The following is an 18,402-nucleotide window of genomic DNA, read 5'->3' as shown; positions in this document are numbered from 1 at the left end:
CCTGCCCAGCTCCACCCCCTGGAAAATGTACTCCTCCAACATGCAGACATCTTACTACAAACCCTCCAGTGAATGTGTGGCCCAAGGGAATCAGGAGAAAGAGAGACAAAGAGCCACTGAGAGGAGATGGAAAAACCAAGAAAGAGAAAAGAAAAATGAGGGAGACCCATAAACAGATGGCAAAGTGGAGGATGGGTGAGAGATTTGCAGCGACAGAGTGAAAGAAGCAGTCAAGAAAGTAGCAGGGGCAGAAAAGCAATTGGCGAAATGTAGAGAAAAGCTCGATGTCCCGAGATGCAGGACAACAAGATAAGGAGAGGGACAGCAAAGAAGGAGCCTCCTCAGACAGAGAGTGGGGGAGAGGAGAAAGGATTTGGCCGAGGGCAGACAGAGCTGCGTGGTGCTGGGACAGCTGGAGGGGACAGCTGGTGACAAGGCGAGCAGAGGGAGCACCACAACACAGGGAGGCCTGGGATCTGGGAGTGCCAGAGAGTGGGGATAAGCGGGTGTAACAGGGAAGAGGGGATTTAACAGGGAGAGCAGAGGAGGCGCGGAGATGGGGTAAGAAAGAGGCAGAAATAGATGGAGATTGGGACGATGAAAAGATTGGAAAGAAAACGCCACAAGAGGTGAAACAAATTGGAAGAATGGAGTAGAACAGATATAAGGGGAAAAAACAAAGAAGGGAGAAACAGCAGAAGAAAAAAGAGGCACAACATCGTCAGAATCCTAGGGGGAAGATAAAAGGGGAAAAAGGCTGGAGAGACAAGGTGAAAGTGAGAGGCACAAAATGGGGGAGAGGAACACATAGTTATAAAGAAAGAGGGGCGCCCTGGGGCCAGGTGAGAGGTGAGTTGAGATTGGATATGACAATTTGATTTCTCTATTTATAATGTGTTACATTTAAATTGTAATCTAATTGTTTAAATTCTACATATAAGGATGAGAATTACAAAGCTCTGTGTAAAAGGCTTGTGCATTTTACAATTATGGCATAAGAGGCTAGCTTTCATTTGCCCATGCTGTTTAGCCATTGGGCAGTGACTTGCCTCATTCAGTTATGGGTCTCCCTCTTCCTGTTTCCGAGGATGGGGTAGGGTGGGGGCAGTGAAGAGAGGCAAGGAGTGACTGGCTGTGTCACTGCCTGGTGCCTTGTATTTACCTTTCATCTCACAGTTCATGCTGAAGGTTGAGATGAAGCTTATCTAATTCAGTCTCTTTTTCTATATGTAATTATTGCTGAAGTAAGCTTTTGTGGAATCCTGTATTGGCTCATGTCATTCTTTTCTAAATGTGATATATTTTCAATTTTTTCCCTTTGTAGAATTCCATATATAGTTAATATATCATATACATATTAAATAATATATATATTTTCAAAATGGTTTCCATTTGAAGTTAATTGTGTTGAGTTCAGATTGAGGTCTGCATGCTTTCTACTCTTTATCATATATTGGAAATACTCTTTGGTAGTCAGTAGGTAACTTTATTCATTTTTATTTATTTATTTATTTATTTTTGAGACAGTCTCGCTCTTTCACCCAGGCTGGAGGGCAGTGGCGTGATCTCAGCTCACTGCAACCTCTGTCTCCTGGGTTCAAGTGATTCTCCTGCCTCAGCCTTCCAACTAGCTGGGATTACAGGTGTGTGCCACCACGCCTGGCTAATTTTTTGTATTTTTAGTAGAGACGGGATTTCACCATGTTGGCTAGGCTGGTCTTGACCTCCTGACCTCAAGTGATCCACCTGTCTCGGCCTCCCAAATTTCTGGGATTACAGGCGTGAGCCACCGCTCCTGGCCCTTATTTATTTTTTTTGAGATGGAGGTACTCTGATGCCCAGGCTGTAGTGCACTCGTGTGACCTTGGCTCACTGCCACCTCCACCTCCCAGGTTCAAGTGATTCTCCTGCCTCAGCCTCCCAAGTAGCTGGGATTACAGGCACCTGCCACCACACCTGGCTAATTTTCGTATTTTTAGTAGAGATAGGGTTTCATTATATTGGCCAGGCTGGTCTTAAACTCCTGATCTCAAGTGATCCCTCCCAAAGTGCTGGGATTACAGGCGTGAGCCACTACGCCGGCCATCAGTAGGAATTTTAGATGGTATGAATGTGTATTTGGTAAAGATATCAGTGACGCTTTTTTTTTTAACGTTAACATAAGAACCTATTAACTAATTTTTTTTTGGAGACGGAGTCTCGCTCTGTCGCCCAGGCTGGAGTGCAGTGGTGCAATCTCGGCTCACTGCAAGCTCCGCCTCCCAGGTTCATGCCATTCTCCTGCCTCAGCCTCCCAAGTAGTTGGGACTACAGGCAGCCGCCACCACGCCCGGCAAATTTTTTGTATTTTTAGTAGAGATGGGGTTTCACCATGGTAGCCAGGATGGTCTCGATCTCCTGACCTCGTGATCCACCCGCCTCAGCCTCCCAAAGTGCTGGGATTACAGGCGTGAGCCACCACGCTCGGCCAACTTATTTGTTACTAGTCAGTTTTCTTCCCTTATGTCATCTCTTAAAATAGTGACCTGTGAACTACTAAGCAGATGTCCCCCTCAAGTCCCTTTTGTCAGTTCTATTTTCTGTAAATGTGGAAAGATGGGCTGGATTGACTCAAAACCTTATTCCAGCAGAGCTTATGTGTTCATGAAAAAATTTGCTGAGAGAGCTCATCTCTATAGCTGACAGTCTTTCACTGTTTTCAACACCAATAGCCATGTTTTCACAGTTCTGCGTTTCATTAGTATGTTGTGTTTTTCTGGAAAAGAGGAATTAAATGTTTGGGATCAATGTGATAAAGCCATGAAAGGGAAGTTTCTTTTGCCCAGGTATGTGAAAGAAGATCCTGGAATTTTCCAGGGGAGGCGTGAGAAAGTCTAGTGTTGCCCATTAGCCCTTCGAGGCCGTCATAGAGTCAGATACATCTTCTAATTCAACTTGGATGACTTAGTGAAACATCTCCCCGTCTAGCCCTCAGTAAATCCACCTGCAACGTGAAGGTGAGGGACTCAGTCAATATACCTCAGTCTGGGCAATACTAATCCCCTTAATGTTTGGCAGAATTGGGTGTACATCTGTGTTTTGCAGTTCTTCTAGGAATTGGGGAGTGCCCACTGCAATTAAAAATTTAAATGGGACTCAGTCCTTTAAAATTTAAAACAAAACAAAACCAAAACCACAAGGATGGAAGCTGGGGTGTAGACTCAGAGGCAGAGAGACCATCTTTGGAGGCCTTTCTCTGCATTAGAGTTATGGCTAAATCTAAAGCAGTCATGTCAGTCCCTGGTAGGGAACCCTCCACCGGCTTCCCGTGTTCCCCAGGACAAAAGCCCAACTCCTCACTGTGGCTCCACAGCCCTGCGTCCAGGGCCCCTGCCAGTGTCCAGCCTCCTCCTGGGAGCTTGCCCTCATCTCATGACTCCCTCTGCCCTAGTCACATTTGTTTTTCTCTTTTCCCAAACATCAAAACCTTTCCTGTCTCAGTCTTTGTCCCTCCTCTTACCCTATGTCCCCAAATCATCACAGCTCTGTCCCTTTCTTCTCCTTCGGGTCTAGCCTCAGAGCTGTCTTCCACCCTCTTGCACCCCCATCTGAAATTCTCTCTGCCTGTCAGTCTCTACCACGTTACTCAGGTTTCACTGTCTCCGCATCCATCACCACATCGGACACTCTTCTGCATGGATTATTTTGAGTGTTTTGTGTCTCCATCTTGGCCACGGGACGACTGCAGCACCTGCTCTGGGGTTGTGGTTCAGATGCTGGGGCTGGGGTCGGGCTGAGGAGTCCTCAGGGAAGACCAAAAGGATAGGGCGGGTAGTGAGGATGGTCTCATATTCTGGAAATTTCATCCGTAATTGGTCTAAACTTCCTGTGGCTATTTATTCCAGTCTATGTAAGAGCAGAAGGCCTCACTGAGGCCTGAAAAGCCCCGCAGACCCTGTGTCCTCAGCCAGTGCCGAGGCGTCCCCACCGCCTTACTCCAGCTCCCGGGTCTTCCGCGCTCTACACATCACCGGGGCCCGGTGGCCATCCTGGGCAGGGGCTTTGCCTTCCAGCAGGTGATGCGCTCGCAGTCAGGGGTCCTGGATTCCCTTCAGGAAGGGTGGCGAGAAGTTCAGAAGCTAAGTGGGCCATGAAGGAGGCACTCCCTAAACAGCGGGGGAATTTTGCAGGGGACTGTGAGTGGAGAGACAAGGGGACAATGGCAGCCTCCCTCATGAGATCTGGGGCCTCTCTTTTTCTTGGACATCCTCCGCCAGCTCAATCCGGCCAATCTTCACCTGCCTTTAAACTGGATTCCATGGTGTCCCCAAATTGGGGGCAATTCCTTCCAGCATGGCCAACTTCTAGAATCTAGACTTGAGGCCCACTGTCCTGCAGATAGCAGTTTGTGTCCATTCCTGCCGCATCGCTTGTGTCCAGAGGCCTTTCAATCCAGTGTGCTTCTCAGGCTGGAAGAGAAGTAGAAAAATGGGGACAGGTGAAGAAGTCCTTAGAGGTGTGGAGTGAGGCGTGGAAGCAATGCTGAGCCTCTAGAGGAGCTGGATGAATGCTGCATGCACCTGGCCCACAGGTGACTGTGGGCTCACGGGATGTGTGGCACACTTGGAAAGAAGTCTCAGGTCTGGCTGTAGCACCTGGAAGTGGGTTTTGGGGTGGTTGTGGGGCTGCAGGATCATTTTGTAATGCCCTGATGTCTCAGCTCAGGTTACCTGGGAAACAGATGCTGACACAGAGATTTGCATGCAGGAATTTAATTCGGAAACTCATCATCACAGTGAAGAGGACTGAAGGCAGTGGAATCAGGCAGAGAAAAACATCCCGAAGTGTACTTAGAACCAAGACCTAAGCTGAGCCCAGAGGGAGCTTCAGCAGCAGGAGGATGGGCGCCTTGGCCTGAGGGTGTGGATCCCAGAGCTGCTCCACAGCATCCGCTCCACGGGGTGATTTCTGTGGAGGCTTTGGGAAGTGCAAAAACCATCCTGAAACCCATAGAGGAAAGATAGGAAGAATCTCAGAGATTATTTTCTGGGTTGCCTTTGGCATTCGGGGTATTTTCAGTTGCAGATCAATAAGCTTTCAGTTGTGTTTTGGAAGATGAAATGATCATTTGGAGTGTTTCCTTTCCTGATGTTGGGGTCTAATTGCATCATTAGAGACATCTCTGTTTTATTGGTAGGTTTCAGTGGTATTCCCCTGTGGGGTGGAGTCACTATGAGTGGAAATACGTTGCCCTGGGTCAGTGAGTTCCTGGGGTGTTTGTGTATATTATTCCATGAGTTACTGGGGCTTGTGAGATTTCATAACAGGGCTTCTGGATCTTTATGAAGTATCTGGGGATTGTGGGATCTTTATGAAGTATATGGGGAGTGTGGGAGTTTGTAAGCGTGTCTGAGTCCAGAGGGCAACGGGGATCCTAAGAATCAGGCGCAGATGGCTTTCATTAGGGAGGGTTTGTTGTGGGGGCGTCTGTGGGTGCAACTCAAGAGGGAGTGATTATCAGGGTCCCAGAGTAAGGGAAAGATTTCTCCAAGAATCAGAGTGAAACACAGCACACTGACCTGCGGCCCAAAGGCTTCCACTGGGACTGTCCTTGGGAAGATAAAGCTGCCACATTCTTGCAGCCAGGCCGGTGGCCTCTCCCTGTTTATTCCAAGATAACAGAGTCACAGAGTCACAAGGCAGCTGGGGAGCTGAGGGGCAAGGTCCTTGAAACCCGCTGTGGAACATGGACCTTTCTCCAGTGCAGAGGGGCCACGGGGCCCTGGGAAGGGAGTTGGAGGGTTACAGCCCTGGTCATGGCAGGGAGACGCAGGAACTGGAGGCAGGAAGAGCTGTGTTCATCCCCACAGGGTGCCCCTCCGCTCAGGAATTTGTGCAATAGAATGGGGTGAGCTAATGGGGTCACATTTAGGGAAAGGAGTCTTTCTGTCCACCCAACACACATCTCATCCTATGCACACGCTTCTCCCTTTCCCCGTTGTCCTCTCTATGATGGGAAACTAATGCTTCCCCAGGCGGGTGATTGAGGGAGAGGACGGGTTGGTCTGTTTGTCTCTCTCCTTTCTCCCCTCCCTCAGGTCTCCTGCCTGCCTTTCTGCTGCTCTGTTCAGACTCTCACTTCCTGCAGTTCTGCAGTCAGTTTGCCCCACGCAAGACCCAAGGATCTGGGTCTGTGAATAATATTCAAGCCAACATCATTGCCAAGTGAGAAATCTTAGACCCCAGGACCTTTTTTCCATGGAGGGGCCTGGGCACAGAGACAAACTCTTCTTTTTGCAGAATTTAGGGTCTTTTATTGGCCACGTGGGTCTGCTGAGCCTCAGACAGGGATCCCATAGTCAGCCAGATGTGTTTCTGGGTGGACTTGCGCTTGCCCTTCCACAGGTTGGTAAGCAGAGTGGTCTCCATGAAGGGCCCTTGGCTCTGCCCCTCAGTTAGTCCTGCTCAGCTCCCTTCTCACGAAAAAGACCACCCCAAGGACAAACATGCAGTCCACCCCTGCATACATCAGTCTCCCAAAGTGAAGACCATAAAAATGGCCTAATATTTCATTCATTCATTCAGTTATTTATTTATTTTGAGACGGAGTCTCGTTCTGTCTCCCAGGCTGGAGTGCAGTGGTGCGATCTCAGCTCACTGCAACCTCTGTCTCCTGAGTTCAAGCAATTCTCCTGCCTCACCCTCTGGAGTAGCTGGGACTACAGGCATGTGCCACCACTCCTGGGTCATTTTTTTGTATTTTTAGTAGAGACAGGGTTTTACCATGTTGGTCAGCTGGTCTTGAACTCCTGACTTCATATGATCTGCCCACCTCGGCCTCCCAAAGTGCTGGGATTACAAGCATAAGTCACCGCACCTGACCATATATCATTTCCTTTTAATTATTTACTTATTTAATTTTTACTACACTCCCATTTTAGCAATACTAATATTTCATTTAATGTTGCTATTATTATTTACTGTTATTGAGACAGAAGCTTTGTGTTAGACGCTGATCTCATGTAACGTGACTCTTTTATAATTGTGCTTAGGATTCCACGGGAGATGAGTGAATAAACGACTGAACATTGTGCATAAACAGACAATTTATATATTCATAAGATTAAGACATTTTGTATTCCTCATCCGTTATGCAAAGCAAAGACTAGACACTCTGGAGTCATCTCTCATGAGAACAAACCTGCGGACAGCTGGGAAGCACACCAGCCACCAACTGGGAGTATTAAAAAGAGCAATCCAGTCTCCAAATCAAGGGGAGGGTTCAAATCATAGACAAGCTGCAGAGCCACCGGGTCTCAGAGTTTCCCGCGGAAACGCTGGGACTCGCTACCAATCCCATGAGCGCACCTGGGGATTTTAACGTCTGGTGGGATGGTGGATTCCGAGTGTGGTTGGACAGGGCTGGAGTGCCCTGAAAGGCCTGAATGCTCTCCTGCCGGTGAGAAAACTGGAAGCGGATTCTGGGAGGGAGCTGTCGCCAGCGAGAGGCGGGTCTTGGATAGTGGGGAGAGGCCAGGTGGGGAGGGTGGAAGCCACCGTGAGGTGGGGTCTGGGCAATGGGAAAGGGGTGCAAGAGGGTCGTGTGGGAGGGTGGAACTGCTGTGGGCGGGGCCTGGGCAGTGGGGAGGGGGCGGGGTGAGGAGGGTGAAAGTCGCCCTGGGGTGCGGTCTGGGCAATGGGAAAGGGGTGGAAGAGGGTGGGGTGGGAGGGTGGGACTACCGTGGGGGCGGGGCCTGGGCAGTGGGGAAGGGGTGGGGTGAGAAGGGTAAAAGTCGCCCTGGGCTGGGGTCTGGGCAACGGGAAAGGGCTGGAAGAGGGCGGCGGGATGGGAGGGTGGAAGCTGCTATGGTGCAGCCTGGGCTGTGGGAAGCGGGCAGGGCCGGGAAAGGAGCGGGCCTGGGCTCTCTACTCCTCTTGGCCCCAGGTCATTTTCTGCTATGTCAGCCTTTCTCTCCACTAGGACTGGATCAACAGCATTGCACTGCTAAAATAAAGTTTCAGCTAATTGAAATTAGCCGGGGATGCTTCCTGCTTATTTTCAGTTAATAAGCAGGGATGCTTCCGGCTTATTTTCAGTCCAGGGACGCTTCCTGCTTATTTTCAGTTAATCCAACATTTCAAACAATTTAAGGCAAAAGAACAGAATGGTACTGGGCCACTTAATTGAAGGCTAAGGTTTTTTTACTCTTACATTGAAAACGATTTAAGTGAAAAACTCATTTTGTTTGCAGGTGGAGACAGGCATCCTACCATTAAGAGGATCACAACTCATCTTAGCTCAGGGTACCAGGAGGGGTGCAGGGGCATCAGCGGATGGTCCCTGTGGGGCAGTGGTTTCATCCTGGAACTGGCAATTAGAACCGTTTAATTAATCCGGGACCTGATTTGTCTGTTTAGAGGATGAAACGAAGGTGAAATTTCTACTTGTGCTGTGTTCAGTTTCATAGTGACAACGATCGGAACATCGTTTCCATTTCTATTTGCCAGGCACCGGGATGGAAGAAAGAGAACTCTGGGCTTAGGTCCAGGGGCGTTTCAAGGACCCTGGACCAGGGTGTGTGGAGGAACGGTATCTGGTAATTTAGGTCGCCAACCATTCCCTTAAACATAAAGAATACTTTTTAAAATAGAGGAATTATAGGGAAAATCTCAGAGATAAATTTCTGGGTTACCTTTGGTATTTTGGAGTATTTTGTGTTGTAGATCAAGAAGCTTTCGGATGCATTTTGGAAGATAAAATAGTTTGGAGTGTTACCTTGTATGATATCGGGGTCTCATTGGAGCATGTGCATCACTAATGCCTTGTTTCCTTATCTTTCAATTGTTGATCTATTACACAATTGTAAGGGAATTTTAAATGTATATGGCTTTGAAATGAAGTTGGTGCATCTCATTTTTTCAATTAGCTGAAATTTTCCTTTAGCAGTTAATGATGTCTCTTATGTGTGACAGGAACATTCAGTACACCCACAGTGAAGGCTGAGTGCCCTTCAAAGCTTTTTTCTTCTGTTTTTTGTTTTTTGAGACAGGCTCTGTCACCCAGGCTGGAGTGGTGCGATCATAGCTCACTGCAATCTCACACTCACTTCAGCCTCCTGAATAGCTGGGACTATAGACATGCACCACCACACCTGGATAATTTCTAAATTTTTTTGTATAGATGGGGTCTTACTATGTTGCCCAGGCTGGATTCAGTGCCGAGTCTCAAAGGCCAAGGTACCAGGGCAAGTTCATTAGTTTTGAGTTTCACTTGGTGTTATGTGTTGACAATGTAGAAGCCGATTTTGACCCTGTAATCCTAGCAGATAGCAAAGGTTAAGCCTCCCCCTTCCATCCTTTCTTCTTTTTTTTTGTTTTTTTAGATGGAGTCCTGCTCTGTTGCCCAGGCTGGAGTGCAGTGGCACGATCTTGGCTCATTGCAGCCTCTGCCTCCCAGGTTCAAGTGATTCTCCTGCCTCAGCCTCCCTAGTAACTGGGATAACAGGCGCTGCCACCGCGCCTGGCTAATTTTTGTATTTTTAGTAGAGACAACGTTTCACCATGTTGGCCAGGCTTGTTTTGAACTCCTGACCTCAGGTGATCCACCTGCCTCGGCCTCCCAAAGTGAAGTGCTGGGATTACAGGCATGAACCACCGTGCCCGGCCAGAAATATCCTTTTTAAATCTCTTGTGAATATGTTGATTTTGCTTCAATGAAAATGTATAAGCATTTAAACTCTGCATATACAAAATGGATTCATGGCTTTCATCTATAATCAGATTCACCCCTACTATTCTCAATTTAATGAAAAGATCCAAAATCAAATCATTTCTTTGCTTGGGATCATGGAAGTCCATGCTGAAACTGCTTTCTTGTCAACATAGGTACTTAGCAATATTGCGTAACACAGAGCAGTCTACCTTGCAAAAGTCCCCAAATCTATCCCAGACACCATATCTTTTGAAACTGTAGATGTAGTTGTGAAATATGCTATTTTTCCTGTCTAAACAATTGTATTTTCAATTAATCACCACTTTTCCATTGATGAAATCTTCCACATGTGGGGATGTGAGAGGCAAACATACTTCAAAGTAGAGGTAAATTCACAGATGTTGCCATAAAATTATTGCTAGTAGATACGATGCCATTTAATATTTGATAATCTAGTTTTACTTTGTATAGGGTTCATATGAAGGAGAATATCCAGCCAGCATGGTAGCTCACGCCTGTAATCCCAGCACTCTGGGAGGCCAAAGCAGGTGGATCACTTGAGGTCAGGAGTTTGAGACCACCCTGGCCAATGTGGTGAAACTCCGTCTCTACTAAAAATACAAAAAAAATTAGCTGGGCCTAGTGGCGTGTGCCTGTAATCCCGGTTACTTGGGAGGCTGAGACAGGAGAATCGCTTGAACCCAGGAGGCAGAGGTTGCAATGAGCCAAGATTGCGCCATTGCACTCTAGCCTGAGCGACAGAGGGAGACTCTGTCTCAAAAGAAAAAAAAAATACCCTATCAAATACGCTTAAAATCTTGCAAAATTAATTACCCTTGAGGTGAATATAAATGTAAATGTTTTCTGAAGATGATTTTACAGGCTTTTTTTCTACAACAGATTAAAATAAGTACTTAGAAAACAATTTTTATTTAAATATTGTAATCTATGTTCTTTGGTTTCTCTTCCGTTTCTTCAAGTACTTTTGGAATGCATGTGAAGTGAATTTCAAATTACGCCATATGTAGAGATTATTGACATAAGCATATTACAATGACAAAGTTTATCTCAAAGGTATTTGAGGCCGTCATCTCAAGAGTGGAATGGGATAAAGGAAGAACAATGGAATTTATTTCTATTTGTAAAAAGTTACTGCTTTTTAAAAAGCAAGTTATTGACCTAACCAATACCTAGGCCTTAGCCCTGCTCTGGAACCGAGGTTGACGCTGTCCTTCCTGAGTGCGCGGGGAATAGAAATGGAAAGGAGGTTCTGCTGATCAGCATGAAATTGTACACTCCCTGCTAAGCTCAAATTTTGCATTTCACATTCTAGTTTGCATCTCATTCAGTTACAGCATTTCTTTAAATGCTTAATTTTAATTGCAGAAACGTTCCTGGATCCGAACACTGCCCCCTGACGACCTAGAGAGATCCCGGCTCCCAGCCCACTGAGTGGCTTCAGCCTCGCTGGTAGGTCTCTCCTCCAAAGCTCTGGAAACAGACTCCTGGGAGTGAGAGGGAGGGGAGCGCAGGCACCGCCCCCTTTCCCCAAGTCCCCCGCCCACTTCATCCCTCAGGCACCTCCCAACTCCTGGCCTCTCTGCACGAGGCGCCTGCCCCGGGCCCCGCCTACAGGGGACCCAGCTCTTCTTGCAGCCACTGGAAGCTGATCACCTGGAGTGAAGACCTCACACGTGAGTTTCCCTCTGTTTAGGTTAAACTTGGGCTTCCCAGGCTCCTGCACATCCAGACTCGATTTGCAGGAGTCCTCAGAGACATATGTGTATATATGAGTGATTGTAGTTCACTGCAGCCTGGACCTCCTGGGCTCAAGCGATCCTCCCACCTCAGCCTCCTGAGTAGCTGGGACCACCGGTGTGTACCACCACCACGTTTAAATAATTTTTTTTATATATATTTAGTAGAGAGGAAGTCTCACTGTGTTGCCTGAGCTGGTCTCGAATTTGTGGGCTCAAGTGATCCTCCCGCTTCGGCTGGGATTACAGCCCACGAAGTGCTGGGATTACAGGCATGAGCCGTCACTCCGGACCCTATAGACCTTAGTATCCCCTCATGGCTCTTTCATTCCCAAGTAAATTCAGAGGTGTCCATGAGAGGTCAGGGGTCACTTCCCATTGAACCACACAGACAGGTCCTGCTTGCAGTATTTCTGCCTTCAGCCCATGTAGAGAGCTTTCATGCCATTTCCTGCTTAAAACCCTTTACTCACTTCCCACCCTGTGCCTTGTAAGGTCCTCACCCGCGAGGTGCATTCACCCTTTGGGTCCCCTAAGCCTCGCCCTTCATTGCGTCTGCACAGCAGCACCGCAGCTCCGGTGCAAGAGAGTCCTCGCCCTGGTCCTGGGATTCCACAGATCCCACCCCTCCCCTGAGACACCCTCCCATCTTGCTCTCATTGAGCCTTGCCCTCTATCCTGCAGGCCTCCCCCTCATAAGCATGGCTTCCTCTGACCCAGCGTTGAAGGAGGTGACTTGGGCCTGTCTGTTCACCTCCAATGTTCTTTTGTCCCAGATTCCACTCCACTAGGAAAAGTGCTTTCAGTAGGTGGGCATCTTATTCCATCCCCTTCCCTGTAAATATGTGGCCACAGGGGATCAGGAGAAAGAGAGACAGGAGAAAGAGGAAATAGAAAAACTGAGAAGGAGTGAGAAGGACGGGTGAGAACCATGAACAGATGGCAACGCAGAGGATGGGTGGGGAATTTGCAGACAGACACTGAGAGTGAAAGACAAAGCTGAGAAAGTGTGGGGCAGGGAGCAACTGGAGAAATATAGAGAAAAGCTGGGTCTCCAGAGAGATGAAGGACAGCAAGATAGGGAGAGGGGCAGAAAGGGGGAGGCTCCTCAGACAGAGAGTGGGGGAGAGGAGGAGGAATTTGGAGTCAGGGCAGACAGCAATGTGGTGCTGGGACAGCAAGACGGGACAGCTGGTGACAAGGAGAGCAGAGGGAGAACCACAGTATGGGAAGGCTTTGGATCTGGGGGTGCCAGAGAGTGGGGACAAGGGGTGTAACAGGGAAGAGGGGATTTAATAGGGGGAGCAGAGGGGGAGCAAAGATGAGGGAAGAAAGAGGCAGAAATATGTGGAGATTGGGATTGGGACAATGAAAAGTTTGGGCAGAAAGGAATAAGAGGTGGAAGAAGTTGTAGGAATGGAGCAGAACAGGGGGAAGAGAAGGAATGGAGGGAAGAAGGGGAGAAAGAGCAGGAGAGGAGAGGGGCTCAAAATGAGGAGCAGAAACCTGGGGGGAAACATCGGAAAAAAAGAGCCAGGGAGGGAAGGTGAGGATGAGATATGTACAGAATGAGAGAGGGAAACACACAGGAAGGAAGAAGGAGGGGACCTTGGTTCAGGTGAGTGGTGAGTTGATTGAATATGGGTAATTTAGTTGTGACATGTTGATTTCTGTCTTTATAATCTAACAGATTTTAAATATGCTTAAAATACACAGATAAAGATGAGAATTGCAAAACTTGTCTATAAGGCTATGCATTTTATAATTATGGCATCAGAGGTTAGCTTCCACTTGTAACCTTTTCAGCCAGAGGGCAGTGACTTGACTCATTCATTTGTGGGCCACGCTCTTCCTCCATTTCCCTGGGATGGGGTTGGGTAGGGGCGAGAACATGAGTTAATGTAATACTGATTACATAATATTTAGTATTATATGATGCTGATTATAGTCAATATAATAGTGTACAGTCAATGTAATAGTGAACACTCCACACAGAAAACTCATCACCAAAATGTGGAGGAACTTCTTCCCACCAGCAATGCATTTTCCATCCGACACTAACTGGGTGAACTTATACTTCAACTCAATTCTGACACTGTCCAGCTAGAATTAGGATCAGATGCTGTTTACTGGTTGGTCAGTTCCACAGGGCTACCCCCACTTCAAATGCCGGTCACAAGTTGCAGGTTGGGACCTGAACTTCTGGGCGACCAACTGTAAATTGGGGATTCACTTGACCCCCCTCCTCAGGTTGTAGTAATTTGCCACGGTCATTCACCGAACTCAGGACAACACTTAGTTTACTCATTTATTATAAAGTATGTTGCAAAGGACACAGATGAACAGCCAGATGGAAAAGCTGTGCTAGCTAGTTATTCAAACCCAAGGAAAGTGTTAGGGAAGCACATTGACCAGGTCAGTCAGAGCGTACAGCATATGAAGTGAGGGCAGTCCTGTGCGACTGAACCCTCAAGCTGTGGTGTCTGATTCTGTTTTGTAGACGGTGTCAGAATTGAGTAAAACAGCAGGACTCCCTACCTGGGAGTCTGCTGGAGAAGCTGTCATTGTGGGGACAATGACACACATTTTGGTGACTAGAGGTGAAATATTCTGTGTTAGAGTGTCAGAGTAGTATGAACAATTTTTTTCCTCTCTGAACAGATCTCCAATGCATGATAAAGCCTTTTTTTCTTCTACTCTTCCATCTTTAAGACAAAAAAATACTTTCAACTACATTTCCCTCTGTAATAAGTACCTATTTGTGCTCTATTTAAGAGCATAATATTCTAAAAACTAGTTTTACTTTGTCTTCAATTCTTTTTTTTTTTTTAAATAAAAATATAGAGACAGGATCTTGCTGTGTTGGCCAGGCTGGTCTCAAACTCCTGGGCTCAAGTAGTCTTTCCACCTCAACCTCCCAAAGTACTGGGATTACAAGCGTGAGCCGTGTGCGGCCACTTTGTCTTCAATTATTGCTTAAACCTTTGAATTGTTGCTTGAATCTAGCTTTCACATCCAGCATTCCACTGATTCTTCCTTTTTCAGTCATCAGTGACCTCCCAATTCCTAAATGCCGTAATTCATGTCCTGTCCTCATCTTTTTCTTCCTGTCGGTAGCATGTAGCACAGCTGATCACTTCCTCTTCTGTTATCTTGGCTTTTATGACACCCCGTTAACCTTTACAAATCTATTCAATCTTCTTGCCACTCTGATCACTTTCTGCTTTCCTCTTCTGGTGTCTCCAGAACTTTCTTGTTCTCTGAATGTGCAAGTGCTCATGGCTCAGTCCTTACACCTCTTCTTGTCTCCGTCCACACCCACTGCCTTTCCGTACTTCTCATCTCATGGCTTTATGCCCCACCTGTTAATACTCAGCCCCATGTACCCTGCAGACCCTCCTCTGAGGTCTAGAATCCTGTGTCTAGTTGTCTCCAAAACTCTCTACAGGGATGTCCCAACAGGCATCTCCATTTTCATATGCCTAAAAGTGACTTCTTGGCTGGGCACAGTGGCTCATGCCTATAATCCCAGCACTTTGGGAGGCCGAGGCAGGCGGATCACCTGAGGCCAGGAGTTTGAGACCAGCCTGGCCAACATGGCGAAACCCTATCTCTACTAAAAATACAAAAAATTAGCCGGGCGTGGTGGCGGGCGCCTGTAATCCCAGCTACTCAGGAGGCTGAGGCAGGAGAATCGCTTGAACCCAGGAGGCGGAGGCTGCAGTGAGCCGAGATCACGCTACTGCACTCCAGCCTGGGCAACAAGAGTGAAACTCTCTCAAAAATTAATTAATTAATTATTTAAATAAAAGTGACTTCCCAAACTCCTCCAAACATATTCACCCCTGCAGTCTTGCACATCTCAGCTAAGGGCAACCCTGTACTTCCTGGGGCTCAGCTGAACTTCTTGTCATGTTTAAAATATGCAAGATACTATGTTGTAAGTGTGTTACTTTGTAAAATGAAGAAAAAATTAAGCATTTACTTAAAACAGGTGAGGAAATACATGGTTTCATAAATTTTTTTGACGTATGGGAGAAAGAATGTTTGAAGACCTCTCCCTGCGTGATCTGCACCCTCAGGACCTCTCAGACGCCATCTCCTTCCTGTGTCCTCCCAGCCCCCTCTGCTCCAGTCACACAGGCCCCTTTCCTTTTCCTGGAGCCAAGGTTGCTCCTGCCTCAAGGCTTCCATGTGGGCTGGCCCTCTGCCTAGAACTCCCTGGCCTCTCAGCTGCAAGTGACAAGCAGCCTTTCTTCCTGAGGTCTTTGTTCTGACATCACTTCCTCCGTGGAAACGTTTGTGATCTCCCACAGCCTCCTATTTGACATTGCAGGCCCACCTTCACCCCCACCTCTGGTCCATGTTGCCTGTTCTGTGTGATTCTTTTTGCTCCTTCAATATCCAGTCTGGATCCTGGTGAGAACAAGTCCCCAACAGGAGAGCAGAGCCAGAAGGTGGGGCTGTGCTGGGCTCACCCCCTCAGTGGAGCTCAACCCTGGCTTCATATTAGAGTGCCTAGGCGTTTTGCAGAAACATCTCTTGTGCCCCCTTGACGTATTTTCATTTCAGTGTTTTAGAGCCCAGCTGAGTAATATTTAAAGTTGACTCTATTCTGTAGCCAGCATAGTACCAATCACTGTCTTTTGTTTCTGAAGGCTGAGCTCAGCCTGGGATCCACAGAGAGGTGAGGGGGGCTGTGTTCTGCATGGGGTTTGGTCAGGGCTGGGTCTGTGTCCTAAAGGGGAGCTCAGTCCAGCCCAGCTCCCCACTGCTGCAGTGTGTGTGGGCTTCTCCAGGAGGAAGGTGGGTTCTGAAGAAAGGGGTCAGAAACTCACTTCTTCCTGTAGGAGTTTCTCGTCCCCGTATTCCCCCTGGTGCAGTGGGGCGCAGAGGACCATCTTTCCACAGGGTGAGATCTGTGCGTGTGACTGTGGCACATGAAGGGGATGTATAGATTCTCAGCCCTAAGCAGCATATTTTGGATATTCAGTATTGACTTCTAAAGACTCTTTTATGTTACCCAAGGAAGAAGTCTGGAAGAAGAGGAAGAGGAAAGAAAAGGAGTCAGGGATGGCCCTTACTCAGGTAAAGTGATACTCCTGGTGGATTGTTCTTTTATTTCTTCCTGAAATGCCTGGCATTGGCATTGCGAATCTTCTCTGAGTCTGAAGCGTCCTGCCTGACATGTTTGCTAGCACTCACCCGCGCCTTCCCTCAGTCCCTCTCATCTCGTTTAGATTCCATCTCCCGTGATCCAGTGACATGAACTTGGGAAGAGGCTGCACTGGGCATGGTCCTGGGAAGGGCTCACACCCAGACATGGATGGAGACGGGGTGAGGGTCCTGTGGTGTCAGTGCTGTTGGGCAGCAGGGATTGCTCAGGGGCCGCATCTGGATGCACTGTCAGCGCTGTGTAAACCATGATAACAGAAGCTGCCCATGAAGTCAGGTGCACACGTACCTGCTCACTGGCATAGAAAAGAACACTAAGGGGAAAGCTTTCCTGCCTCATTGGTAACTGCATTTGAAGCCGAACAAGTGAGTCATTGGATTTCCGACTCCAAACTCGTAAAGACTGGGAACAGAATGGAAAGTTTAGACACTGACATTGGAGATAGATGATTCTTTCATTCCATCATCCATTTTAATGTATGACGTCAACATAAATGTGTAACAAGATTCATTAAACTAGTCTCAGAAGCTCTATCCCATGGAGACTGTGATGTTCTTACAAGAACCTTTGTCCGTCGGGTATTGTAGGTGAGAATGGCATATAAGCAGAACAACCTTGCCATTAGAGAGAATGGAACTGTATTTTTGTTTTACCAGTTATGAGTCAACATTTTGTTTCTTTTATTTTGAACATGGCATCATGTATATATTTCTTTTATAGTGAAATGATACATTTATGTGCCAAGAGGTAAAGCATCCCTTTTCCTGTCCAGCCTTCCACCCTCCCTCACATCTTAGTGGGGAGCCACTGTTCTCAATTCTGTGGGAAGGGTCAGTGCAAGTCCTGTAGAAATGTATTTTGACATCATTATGAGATTTAAACAAATTCCTCAGTGAATGTTTGGTTGTGATATGTTAACCTGCAAGTTTTGAACATTGACATGTTTTCGTGTTAGGAAACAGGAGCTCACTTTTCTACATCCTTGTTGGAGCATGCTGGGAATGAAGACAGGTGGATCTTTTAACTTTCTCACTTCTATAAAGAATGCCACACAGGGTGCTGCATGGTGGCTCACACCTGTAATCCCAGCACTTGTGGAAGCCAAGGTGGGAGGATCATTTGAGCCCCAGAGATTGAGGCTGCAGTGAGCCATGATAGTGCCACTGCACTTCAGCCTGAGTGATAGAACAAGACCTTGTCTCAAAAAAAAAAAAAAAAAAGGTGCCACCCTGGCTGCCTGTGACCATGCCGACTTCACTATGGATCGTGGAGAGTTCCTCCAGGCTGGACGATTGGAAGAGTGATCTCTTCTAGGATGGCACATTTCCTGTGTTGCTAGATCTGGCAAGATTCTATCCCTACCCCAGGTGCAGAGGTGCCCTCTCCCACCAATGCCACGTCAGATTTCCCCCTCATTAAGCAAACTTGCCACTGTGTTCATTTTATATTATGAAAATGCGGGGATAATGCAACCCATTTTATTTTCATTTTCTTATTCCTTGTGAGTCTGAGTGGGTTGCATTACTTTGTGGATGTGTATATATGAAATGAATTTTTATACTTTGCTCCATTTTCTGTTCCTGGAATTCAGGAGCTGTGTTGTATTCTGCGGTTTATTTTCTTTTTAACTTTTACTACATTTTTTGAGACAGGGTCTCACCCTGTTGCTGGAGCGAGGCCGGAGCACGGCGGCTCTGTCACTGACATGCAGGTTCAGTTGCTCGCTGCTTGCAGAGTCCAGTTAACAAGAGCAAGGTCTGGTAGAAAGACAGTGACTT

General features: G+C 47.3%; 1 protein-coding gene across 50 annotated transcripts in view; it reads left to right on the top strand.

The window, feature by feature from the left end:
- ZNF160 (zinc finger protein 160) overlaps positions 1-18,402 on the top strand; it is a 36,809-nt gene that overhangs the window by 625 nt on the left and 17,782 nt on the right. For 2 of the 50 annotated variants that reach the window (NM_001322128.2, XM_047439646.1), the window contains exons 2-4: positions 11,078-11,161; positions 12,133-12,257; positions 16,477-16,536. In NM_001322128.2, coding sequence (NP_001309057.1) covers positions 16,522-16,536 — 15 coding nt within the window. In that variant the 5' untranslated portion in view covers positions 11,078-11,161; positions 12,133-12,257; positions 16,477-16,521. Of the gene's footprint in view, positions 1-6,807; positions 7,439-11,077; positions 11,386-11,656; positions 17,636-18,402 lie in introns of those variants that run through there. The other 48 variants (NM_001322132.2, XM_047439645.1, NM_001102603.2 and 45 more) reach the window with 43 other exon arrangements.

This window comes from Homo sapiens, chromosome 19, assembly GCF_000001405.40.
Source record: "Homo sapiens chromosome 19, GRCh38.p14 Primary Assembly".
Taxonomy (NCBI): Eukaryota; Metazoa; Chordata; class Mammalia; order Primates; family Hominidae; genus Homo; species Homo sapiens.
This window is presented reverse-complemented; position numbering and strand designations above follow the sequence as displayed.